General features: G+C 33.8%; 1 protein-coding gene across 3 annotated transcripts in view; it reads right to left on the bottom strand.

Moving 5' to 3' along the window:
- The window catches only part of KIF18A (kinesin family member 18A), an 87,538-nt gene that overhangs the window by 3,493 nt on the left and 70,579 nt on the right, over positions 1 to 13,466 (bottom strand). For all 3 annotated transcript variants that reach the window (NM_031217.4, XM_017018379.2, XM_017018380.2), the window contains 2 exons: positions 12,106 to 12,553; positions 11,276 to 11,383 (listed from right to left, as the gene is read on the bottom strand). In NM_031217.4, the coding sequence (NP_112494.3) occupies positions 11,276 to 11,383; positions 12,106 to 12,553 (556 nt within the window). The remainder of the gene's footprint in view (positions 1 to 11,275; positions 11,384 to 12,105; positions 12,554 to 13,466) is intronic.

A 13,466-nucleotide genomic window follows, 5' to 3' on the forward strand; every position in this document is an offset into this window, starting at 1 on the left:
TTCCAGGGTGCTTTGCTGGCAGATAAGTAAGCACTATTATTCAAAATGTAGAGATCAGTAGCACATAGTCACAAGAGGTTAAAAAAAAAAAAAAAAAAAACTAAGCTCATGTTACAAATTTGGACCAAGAATCCTAATGTGAAAGGTATAAACAAGTGAGATTGTTTGAAAAACCTTGTTTTAAAATGAAAGCAGGGTAACAATAAAAATCTCTAATTATTACAATCACAGAAACTGAAATAAAAAGAATGACCTGTTTTCATTTGCTCTAGCTTCAAAAATTTAATCAGTCTTACACTGCTGATGGTTCAACTTTCTTACTCAATTTGAGTTGCCATATTAGTAAACACCTATTATGGCCTTGTGTTACATGATATACAAGTAAACAAGGCACAAAAATCCCTGTCCTAAAAACTTATAGAATAGACATACAGTGGAGATGAGAAAAAAATAAGATAAATACATGAAATAATATAAGGTAAAGTAAAAATATAGTGCCAAGGTTTCCATAATACAAGGAGCTATAGATTCTTGAGTGTAGAGTAAGAAAGAATAATGGAAATTTTGTGGATGCAATGAATTTGATCTGGGTCCTGAAAAACAGCAATCCTTCCTAGTCCTAAAGAGGATCAATTTTTAACAGGTAGGATTGGGGGGGGTTGGGTGGAAAAAGAACATCCTTCCACGCTGATTCAAACAACCTAAGCTTAGGGAAATTCTGGCTAATAAAGATACTATATAGTAATCCCCCTTATCGACGGGGGGGATATCTTCTAAGATCGCCAGTGGATGCCTGCAACCGAGGATAGTATCAAACCGGATATATACTATGTATTCTCCTACACATATCTATGATAAAGTTTAAATTATAAATTAGGCACAGTAAGAGATTAACAATAATAATAAAATAGAGCAATTATAATTATAATTATTATAAGGTTATGTGAATGTGGTCTCGCTCTCTATTAAAATATCTTATTGTTCTACAATCGCCTGTTTTTGAACTGCGGTTGACCATGGGTAACTGAAACCACAGAAAGCAAAACTTGAATAAGGGGTGACTACTCAGTGGAAGTAATGAAAATGACACAGTTTAAGAAGATAAAATCACAAATTTGTATGCACAAATATTATATCAACTACAGTAGTCCCCACTTCTTAAATGGTGATAAATTACTATGATTCTGTTTTGCATATTAAACACACTTTTGTATATATCAGCTGTCCAAGGCAGAAATTCTTTTTTGATCATTTGGTGATTTTATTTTTTCAAATATAAAGATCAATATTATTAGTTACTTTTGATAAAACATTGTTTTTTCTTAAATTTATCCCAAAGTTGTCTTTATTATTTCATAGTACGATTATGCATTATGGCTAGTTCCAGGACCCTACTTTTTACTCATAGCATGTTCTTTCTTGAAAATTAGGCTTTTGAATAAAGCCATTTGATTAGAACTCATATTTCTAGAAATCAAATCCAACCCTAATAAATTGCGTATTTATATAAAAGTAAAATATACCCAAACATGTTTACGATTTAGTTAAATAGTCCACTGATGAAATGTTTAACATTTATGTTGTAGGTCATAAACTACAAAGACTTAAAACTGATGAGCGCAAGTTCAAATTATGTTAAAGGCTATACTGAAAAATCCAAAGACACTTCCAGTTGTGCACAAAACATATTCCCATAACTATAAATAAAGTTAAGAATTAACCTTTTGCTCCCTTATATAGGTAGAATGTTTCTACTCAACATAATACCTCTTCTACTATTTTATCTGAAATAATTTCTAGTTGAAATAATTAGACATCTTTCAAAACAAAATAAAAGTGTATGGCAAATATGAAACTGCTTTGGGGTGCTCAGAAGATTGTGGACAAACAAAAAACCAATCAACCAAACAAATACAAAACAAACAATCCAAAACTCTGATTAATATAATTGAGAAGTAAAAGCTAACATTATGTATGCATTATATTTAAATATTTGATAGGCTAATCAATTTAGTAAAATAGTGTGCTAGAGAAATATTAAATAAATTGTTAAGATTAAAAATCTAATATACTCAATTATTTAAACAAATCTGTTGGGTAGGTTTTGGAATATCCAGTGCTTTCAAACTCTAATGCCATTTTATGCAAAATAAATGAAATACATATATAGAGAGCTTCCCCTTCTTTATTTTAAAAACTATATTAGAATATATACACAACTAAATATGTATATAAAGCTGCTAAATGGAAAATACCACAGTTTATTACTCTGAAGCGCATGTAACTTTAATTGGGGAAAAAGAAGATTAAAAAAAGTAATCATGTACATTTCTAGCATTAATCTCTTTTAACCTTAGTTAATGGCAGGATCTAATTACTGGTACCAGAGGGAATGTAATAGAACAATTAATAGGCTATAAGAAATCAAGTTACTTTCTTTACATGTCCTTTAATATTATTTCACAATATTAGTTGTTCATGTGGAAGCCCTTTAACTTATCTAAAATCACTCCAAATACACAATTCACATACCTGGACATTTCCTGAAAAACTATTTGATTTTATAATAGCTAAGTTCATATTTAAAAATTATTCTTATCTATAAACATTTGTGACATCTTAGTAAACACAACATACTACCAGTGAAGGACAAGAAAACTCACTAAAATTAATTAATGGAACAAATGACAAAACTGACACTATGCAAATTAGTGATAAAAGTAGACGAAACAGATGATTGTGGTTAGCTAGGCTCACTCATAAAGTGACAGACTTCTGTATATAAACCAGAATAATTGTACAAATCAAATTTGTACCTTAGCAAATATAAAATTTTAAATGTCATAGATGAGACATTTAGGAAAAATCCATAAATTTTAAATTTACACATTCCAAGTCTCTGTTATACTTTGTTTAGGAGGGACAAGGACAGATATTAAATTCACTTATGAGAAGATACTCTATGTAGCACAAATAAGTAGGCTACTTGTAAATTCGCTTCCTGTTACTTAAATGATAACAGGCTCCTGGTGGAAAATACATTTAAAAAGAGTCATTTTAAGGTCTTCTATAAACTTTTCTCCCCATAATCACATAGCAAAGAAAAAGAGGTAGAGGAAGTCAGATCCATTTTATATTTATTGAGTATATTTGTCATTGCATTCAATTTATAGGATATAAAGAATGCATCATGAACTTCTAGTCATATAACTCAATATATTTAAGATTTTTCCTTATCTTTAGTTTTTAGTTGTTTTACTACTATATACCTAGGTATGTTTCTCTTTATATTAACCCGGCTTTTGGTTTGCAGTGCTACTCAAATCCATGGTTTAATGTCTTTTGTTAGTTTTGAATAAGTATTAGCCATCATCTCAAATATTACTTTTCCCTATTCTTTCTCTCACTCCCTTCTGAGACACAAAATACATATTTTCTAGACTTTTAAAAATTGTGTCCCATGTCTCTTTCACTTCTTCCCATATTTTTATCATACTGCACATCAGTTTGGATATTTTCCTACCAGTCTATCTTTCAGAAAAAATTCCAAAACCTGAACAAATGAATAATAAGTAACAAAATCAAAGTCATAATAAAGTCTCCCAGCAAAGAAAAGCTTGGAATTTGATGGCTTCACTGCTGATTTTTACCAAACATTTAAAAAAGAACCAATACCAATCTTACTCAAACTATTCTGAAAAACAGAGGCGGAAGGAATACTTCCAAAATCATTATATGAGGCCAGTATTACTCTGATACCAAAACCAGACAAGGACACATCAAAACAAGAAAACTCCAGGCCAATATCCCTGATGAACACATGCACAAATCCTTAACAAAATACTAGCAAACTGAATCCAATAACAAACCTGAAAGATCATTCATCATGGCCAAGTGGGATTTATCCCAGGGATGCAAGATGGTTCAACATATGCAAATTAACCAATGTGATACATTGTATCAATAGAATGAAGAACAAAAACCATATGATCATTTCAATAGATGCTGAAAAAGTATTTGATAAAATTCAACATCCCTTTATGATAAAAACTCTCACCAAGCGGACTTAATAGACGTCTACAGAACTCTCCACCCACAATCAACAGAATATACATTCTTTTCAGCACCACACTGCACTTATTCCAAAATTGACCACATAGTTGGAAGTAAAGCACTCCTCAGCAAATATAAAAGAACAGAAATTAGAACAATCTGTCTCTCAGAATACAGTGCAATCAAACTAGAACTCAGGATTAAGACACTCACTCAAAACCACTCAACTACATGGAAACTGAACAACCTGCTCCTGAATGACTACTGGGTACATAACGAAATGAAGGCAGAAATAAAGACGTTCTTTGAAACCAACGAGAACAAAGACATGACATACCAGAATCTCTGGGACACATTTAAAGCAGTGTGTAGAGGGAAATTTATAGCAGTAAATGCCCACAAGAGAAAGCAGGAAAGATCTAAAATTGACACCCTAACATCACAATTAAAAGAACTAGAGAAGCAAGAGCAAACACATTAAAAAGCCAGCAGAAGGCAAGAAATAACTAAGATCAGAGCAGAACTGAAGGAGATAGAGACGCAAAAAACCCTTCAAAAAATCAATGAATCCAGGAGCTGGTTTTTTGAAAAGATCAACAAAATTGATAGACTGCTAGCAAGACTAAGAAAGAGGAAAAGAGAGAAGAATCAAATAGACACAATAAAAAAAGATAAAGGGGATATCACCACCGATCCCACAGAAATACAAACTACCATCAGAGAATACTACAAACACCTCTATGCAAATAAACTAGAAAATCTAGAAGAAATGGATAAATTCCTGGACACATACACCCTCCCAAGACTAAACCAGGACGAAGTTGAATCTCTGAATAGACCAATAATAGGCTCTGAAATTGAGGCAATAATTAATAGCATACCAACCGAAAAAAGTCCAGGACCGGGCGGATTCACAGCTGAATTCTACCAGAGGTACAAAGAGGAGCTGGTACCATTCCTTCTGAAACTATTTCAATCTATAGAAAAAGAGGGAATCCTCCCTAACTCATTTTATGAGACCAGCATCATCCTGATACCAAAGCCTGGCAGAGACACAACAAAAAAAGAGAATTTTAGACCAATATCCCTGAAGAACATTGATGCAAAAATCCTCAATAAACTACTGGCAAGCCCAATCCAGCAGCACATCAAAAAGCTTATCCACCATGAGCAAGTGGGCTTCATCCCTGGGATGCAAGGCTGGTTCAATATACGCAAATCAATAAATGTAATCCAGCATATACACAGAACCAAAGACAAAAACCACATGATTATCTCAATAGATGCAGAAAAGGCCTTTGACAAAATTCAACAGCCCTTCATGCTAAAAACTCTCAATAAATTAGGTATTGATGGGACGTATCTCAAAATAATAAGAGCTATCTATGACAAACCCACAGCCAATATCATACTGAATGTGCAAAAACTGGAAGCATTCCCTTTGAAAACTGGCACAAGACAGGGATGCCCTCTCTCACCACTCCTACTCAATATAGTGTGGGAAGTTCTGGCCAGGGCAATGAGGCAAGAGAAGGAAATAAAAGGTATTCAATTAGGAAAAGAAGAAGTCAAATTGTCCCTGTTTGCAGATGACATGATTGTATATCTAGAAAACCCCATCGTCTCAGCCCAAAATCTCCTTAAGCTGATAAGCAACTTCAGCAAAGTCTCAGGATACAAAATCAATATACAAAAATCACAAGCATTCTTATACACCAATAACAGACAAACAGAGAGACAAATCATGAGTGAACTCCCATTCACAACTGCTTCAAAGAGAATAAAATACCTAGGAATCCAACTTACAAGGGATGTGAAGGACCTCTTCAAGGAGAACTACAAACCACTGCTCAATGAAATAAAAGAGGACACAAACAAATGGAAGAACATTCCATGCTCATGGATAGGAAGAATCAATATCATGAAAATGTCCATACTGCCCAAGGTAATTTATAGATTCAGTGCCATCCCCATCAAGCTACCAATGACTTTCTTCACAGAATTGGAAAAGACTACTTTAAAGTTCATATGGAACCAGAAAACAGCCCGCATTGCCAAGACAATCCTAAGGCAAAAGAACAAAACTGGAGGCATCACGCTACCTGACTTCAAACTATACTACAAGGCTACAGTAACCAAAACAGCCTGGTACTGGTACCAAAACAGAGATATAGACCAATGGAACAGAACAGAGCCCTCAGAAATAATACCATACATCTACAACCATCTGATCTTTGACAAATCTGACAAAAACAAGAAATGGGGAAAGGATTCCCCATTTAATAAATGGTGCTGGGAAAACTGGCTAGCCATATGTAGAAAGCTGAAACTGGATCCCTTCCTTACACCTTATACAAAAATTAATTCAAGATGGATTAAAGACTTAAATGTTAGAGCTAAAACCATAAAAACCCCAGAAGAAAACCTAGGCAATACCATTCAGGACATAGGCATGGGTAAGGACTTCATGTCTAAAACACCAAAAGCAATGGCAACAAAAGCCAAAATTGACAAATGGGATCTAATTAAACTAAAGAGCTTCTGCACAGCAAAAGAAACTACCATCAGAGTGAACAGGCAACCTACAGAATGGGAGAAAATTTTCGCAACCTACTCATCTGACAAAGGGCTAATATCCAGAATCTACAATGAACTCAAACAAATTTACAAGAAAAAAACAAACAACCCCATCAAAAAGTGGGCGAAGGACATGAACAGACACTTCTCAAAAGAAGACATTTATGCAGCCAAAAAACACATGAAAAAATGCTCATGATCACTGGCCATCAGAGAAATGCAAATCAAAACCACAATGAGATACCATCTCACACCAGTTAGAATGGCAATCATTAAAAAGTCAGGAAACAACAGGTGCTGGAGAGGATGTGGAGAAATAGGAACACTTTTACACTGTTGGTGGGACTGTAAACTAGTTCAACCATTGTGGAAGACAGTGTGGCGATTTCTCAAGGATCTAGAACTAGAAATACCATTTGACCCAGCCATGTCGTTACTGGGTATATACCCAAAGGATTATAAATCATGCTGCTATAAAGACACATGCACACGTATGTTTATTGCGGCACTATTCACAATAGCAAAGACTTGTACCCAATCCAAATGTCCATCAATGATAGACTGGATTAAGAAGATGTGGCACATATACACCATGGAAGACTATGCAGCCATAAAAAAGGATGAGTTCATGTCCTTTGTAGGGACAGGATGAAGCTGAAAACCATCATTCTCAGCAAACTATCGCAAGGACAAAAAACCAAACACCGCATGTTCTCACTCATAGGTGGGAACTGAACAATGAGAACACATGGACACAGGAAGGTGAACATCACACACCGGGGCCTGTTGTGGGGTAGGGGGAGCGCAGAGGGAAAGCATTAGGAGATATACCAAATGTAAATAACGAGTTAATGGGTGCAGCACACCAACATGGCACATGTATACATATGTAACAAACCTGCACGTTATGCACATGTACCGTGGAACTTAAAGCATAAAAAAAAAAAACAACTCTCAAAAAACTGGGTATAGAAGGAACATATCTCAACACGATAAAAGCCATACACGACAGACCCACAGCTGGTACTATCCTGAATGCAGAAAATCTGAAATTCTTTTCTCTAAGTTGTGGAACATGACAAGGATGCCCACTTTCACCAGTATTTATTATTTAACATATTACTGGAAGTCCTAAGTAGAGCAATCAGACAAGAGAAAGAAAAGAAAGAAAGAACATCCAAATTGGAAAGGAAGAAGTGAAATTATCCTTGTTTGCAGATGACATGATCTTATCATATATTTGGAAAAACGTAGAGTCCACAAAAAACTATGAGAACCTAGAAACAAATTCAGTAGAGTTCCAGAATACAAAATCAATATACAAAAATCAGTAGCATATCTATATACAAACACTGAAATAATTTGAAAAAAAAAGTAATCCCCTTTACAAAAGCTAAAAATAAAATAAGTAGGAGTTAACCAAAGAAGTAAAAGAGCTCCATAATGAAAACTATAAAACACTGATGTAAGAAAAGCAGATACAAAAAAATAGAAAGATATTCCATGTTCATGGATTGGAAGAATCAATATTGTTAAAATGTCCACACTACTCACAGTGGTCTACAGAATCAATGCAATCCCTATCAAAATACCAATGACACTCTTCATAGAAATAGAAAAAACAATCCTAAAATTTATATGGAATCACAAAAGACCCAGAATAGCCAAAGCTATCCTGAGCAAAAAGATCAAAACTGGAGGAATCACATTACCTGACTTCAAATTACACTACAGAGCTATAGTAACCAAAAAAGCACGGGACTGGCATAAAACCAGACACACAAACCAGTGGAACAGAATAGAGAGCCCCAAAATAAATCTACATATTTACAATAAACTTATTTTTGACAAAGCTGCCAAGAACATACATTGGGAAAAAAGATAGTCTCTTCAATAAACAGTGCTGGAAAACTGTTTATCCATATGCAGAAGAATGAAGCTAGATCCCTATCTCTTGCAATATACAGAAATGAAATCAAAATGGATAAAAATTTAAATTTAAGACCTCAAACTATGAAACTGCTAAAAGAAAACATTGGGGAAACTCTCCAGGACACTGGACTGGACAAAGATTTCTTGAGTAATACCCTACACAGGGAACCAAAGCAAAAATGGATAAATGGGATCACATCAAGTTAAAAAGCTTCTGTAAAGCAAAGGAAACAATCAATAAAGTGAAGAGACAACCCACAGAATTACAGAAAATACCTGCAAACTATCTATCTGACAAGGGATTAATAACCATAATACATAAGGAGCTCAAACAACTCTAGGAAAAAAATCTAATGATCTGATTTTTAAAATGGGCAAAAGAATAGACATTTCTCAAAAGAAGACATAAATGGCAAAGAAGCTTATGAAAAGGTACTCAACATCACTGATTATCAGAAAAATGTAAATCAAAACTACAATGAGATATCATCTCACCCCAGTTAAAATGGCTTTTTTTCCAAAAGACAGTCAACAACAAACACTGGCAAGGATATGGAGAAAAGGGAACACTTGTATACTGTTCATGGGGATGTAAATTAGTACAACCACTATAAAGAAAAGTTTGAAGAGTCCTCAAAAAACTAAAAATAGTGCTACCATACGATCCAGCAATGCCCCTACTAGATACATGCCAAAATGAAAGGAAATCAGTATACTGAAGAGATATCTGCACTACCATGTTTATTGCAACACTACTCACAATAGCCAAGATTTGGAAGCAACCTAAGTGCCAATCAACAGATGAATAGAAAAAGAAAATATAGTACCTATACACAATAGAGTACCATTCAGCCATGAAACAAGAATGAGACCCTGTCATTTGCAACAGCATGGATGGAACTGATGGTAATTATGTTAAGTGAAATAAGCCAGGTACAGAAAGATAAGCTTGGCATGTTCTCACTTATTTTGGGGAGCTAAAAAATAAATTGAACTCATGGAGATAGAGAGTAGAATGATGGTTACCAGAGGCTGGGAAGGGTTTTTCGGGAGATTGGGGAGGATGGTTAATGGGGGGATGCTTAATCTAAATATAACGAATAAGATCTAGTATTTGATAGCACAACAGGGTAACTACAGTCAACAATAATGTATTGTACATTTAAAAAATAACTAAGAGTATAATTAGATTGTTTATAACACAAAGGATAAATGGATGAATACTCCATTTACACTGATGTGATTATTACACATTGTATGCTTGTATCAAAATATCCCATGCACCCCCTAATATATACACCTACTACGTACCCACAAAAATAAAAAGTAAAAAACAAATCCATCTTTCAGTTCACTAATACTCTCTTCTGCTGTATGTAATCTGCTGAATTGATTTATTGAGTTCTTCATCTCAGTAAATTCTATATTTTCAGTTCTAGAATATCCACTTGATTAATTTTAATAGAATCTGGTTCTTTGGGGAAGTATCTATTTGTTGAAATTATTACAGTTAAAATTTTTAAATTCCTATCTGATAATTCCAATATCTGCCTCACGTATGAATCACTGCTCCCATGATGTTTTTTTCTCTTAATTTTTAGTCATTTGGTCCTGTCTCCTGGCATACTTTGTAATTTTTGTTTAAGTGCCAAACATTGATGCAGAGCAAAGATAAATCACCTTGATCCAATCAAGAATTAAGTTGGTCTAAGGTCTGTTTCAGACTTTCAAGAACTGGCCTATTTCTAGGTTGCCCTACTCCTAGTGAAACACCCTTCAGGGATCTCAAATAAAATCCTAATGTGTTTAACAGGGTCTTTTCTTCATGGTGGTCCCTGAACTCCAATTTTTCTGTGAAAGCCTCATAAGAACATCAAAACTCTGCTTAATACTTTAGCCTCTTAGCAGCTACTTTCAGCTAGGCATCTTAGCCTCTCATTCCACAAAGCTGAGAACTTGGCGAATACCTTGAGGACAAAACCTGTACAGAATAATTTTGTTTCCCTAGCTCAGAGTAAGACAGCTGATAGCTCTAAGTTTCCATTTTCTGTTCGGCCTCTATGCCTTATGCCATAAATTGGCAAATGCTAAATAAAAAACAGAGGCAGAGAAAGTCTAGCTGTCTATAGCATGTTTCTCTTTTCTCTGGGATCTCAGGCTCTCCATCCTGGCTATCATGGTTGTTCTCCATTGCCTTCAAGCAGCTGTTGGTTCTATTTTATGCACTTTTTACAACTGTTCTTGATAGGTAGCTTGGTCTGATACAAGCTACACTGTCTTAGGCAGAAATAAAAGTCTCTTCACTCATTATATTTTAGTCATATATCTTAATCCATTAAAATAACATAATTCTATGATGGAAGAAATTTGGTAATGTTTAAAAAGGATAATGAAGTAAGTAGAAATAACGAAATAAGTAAAAATTGTCACCCCAGAAAAGTTAAAATTAAGTAGTTTTTGACAGAAAACTTTTCAATTTATTTTTAAGTCTGTAATATGAAATATTTTATAAAATATCAAGTGAAATACTTGAGTTTTTCAAGATCTCCCTTTGATAATATAAATCCAGTACCCCATTCAGAGAAATTTATCCTAAGTATGCTTAAACATGAATTGAGAGTCTAATTATAAAAAATAAAAAAGCAATAGCATATAATATATAAAGATTATCTTATATAACTACAGAACCAAACCAGTTTATGTTTAATCATACCTTGTTAATTTCCGTTTCCTTTTGGCAGCAGTAGTCATTGCCATGTAGGATGGCACCATGCTTGGTACAGGCATAGAATGCTTAGTTGAGAATGAAGAAGGATCAAGCCTGTATATTAATAGTGACAAATAAAAAATAATAATTTTGATTTGAACTATGAAGAGAAAAGGAAGCAAATGTGTCCATAATTAGAAAACCATTTGGTATTAATATATAAAGAAAAACATTCTGCTATACTGTAAAGATTCCCTTGCTTGTCCTGGGGTATTCTTTTCTCTTTATAACACAGGTAAAGTTGCTATCAAGAGATTTCTGCATTCCCAGTGGCATAGAATAGTGAAGGTATTTTTCTTTCCATATTTAGATTGGGTATGATTATGCAGATAAAGTGAGAAGGATATGTTTGCTTGGATGACACACATTCAACCATACTTTAGGGGTATGACCATTTCAGAGTAAGTTGAGGTTTGCTAAACATCAATAGAAAGTGTGAAATTTCCTTCAGTGAAAATATTAATGAATAATAAACATGATAATCCTCCAACAATAGCTTGTATAATCCACCTTCAGAGTAAGAAGAACAAACTAAACATATCTTAAGGTCTCTCCTAGACTAACGACGGTCAACTGACTTAAGATATCAAATTTAAGACTTTAAAATATTTTGTTAGTGAATTAATATTCAGAGAGAAAGATAATTAAAATTTAATGAAAATAAAACAGACTGTTTTATAATCAAAATGGCACACTTGGTTTATGAAATAAACCTCAACTAATAGTTGAAAGTCTATGTTAAAAAAAAAGAATTGGCAAATATTATTTTTTTGTACCGTTGTAAAATGTCTTTGTTATCATTTGGTAGTGATTCTTGTTCGGGTAATTTACACTTCGAGCTCTTGATGTCTTCACATATAGTAAATGTAGAGTCCAAGTCCTCCTGTCCACATTCTTTTCTTCTATTATGAGGGATAGCTACTTCACACAACATTTTCAGACAATTATCACTGTTTATGTTTGAGCTGATAGCCTGAAAACTTGTAGTAAATGATGATGGTTTCATTAAGGTTACTGTAGACGGATTTTGAAAAGCTTTTCTACAGTCTTCTGGTGTATATACAATAGGCTGAAGTTCTTTGCTAAGAGAATCATTGAGCTGCACACTTTGAGATGGTGGAGACTTTAGAGTATGCTGTCCTTTCAAGGGAGATGGCATTAGTTTTCTCCGAGTTCTTTTTTCTGTAGGAATCTTAACCAGATTAGTTCCACCTGAAGATGAGCCTATTCAAAAAAATAAAAAAAGACACTCGATAATGTTTCCTAGTTTTTTAAATAACCCCCATTACTTTTAAAACTAAGAAACCCTAATAATAAGGTATTTTTATGCCAATTGATAAAAATCTGAAAAATATAAGTTGGAAAGGAAAATATCACGGTTTACTGCTAAAAACTTTAAATAAAGATAAACTCATTATAAAGAAATTCTATAACAAAAGAATATATTGCTAATATCAATATTAATTTATAGGTATAGCTTTCTTGAGATATTGGGTAATTAGGAAACAAATTATCAATCAATTCCAATAAAATTCACAATTTCTAGCTTTCATGTTTGATTTGGGTTTAAGATGAAAACAGTATTAAACTTTTATAGGCACAGAGGTTAACACTTGTTCCATTGTAAAATATTACCAGTTTATTACTTTTGTTTTGCCTTGTTTTTTAGATTTGCGGGTACACGTACAGGTTTGTTATATGAGTATACTGGGTGATGCTAGGGTTTGGGTGTCAGTGACCAGTTTATTACTAATTGAGTGGAAGTCTAGTCTAAATGAACAAGAATGGCAATAACCAGTAAAATTCTGGGTGAATGAAAGCATTGTTTCTGTTACAGTGTCAGGTATACAGAGTTGACCCTCAGTAGCTGCAGATTCTGCATCTGTGGATTCAACCAACCAGAGACTGAAAATATTCACAAAACAAACAAACAAATAAACCAAAACAATTAAAAAAATATACAATATAACAACCACTTAATGGCATTTGTATTGTATTAGGTATTATAAGTAATCTAGAGATGATTTAAAGTACACAGAAGGATACATGTAGGCTATATACTATGCCATTTTATGTAAGGGACTTGAGTATCCATGGATTTTGGTATCTGGGAGGGTTCCTGGAATCAACTTGCCTG

Source organism: Homo sapiens, chromosome 11 (genome assembly GCF_000001405.40).
Source record: "Homo sapiens chromosome 11, GRCh38.p14 Primary Assembly".
Classification (NCBI taxonomy): domain Eukaryota; kingdom Metazoa; phylum Chordata; class Mammalia; order Primates; family Hominidae; genus Homo; species Homo sapiens.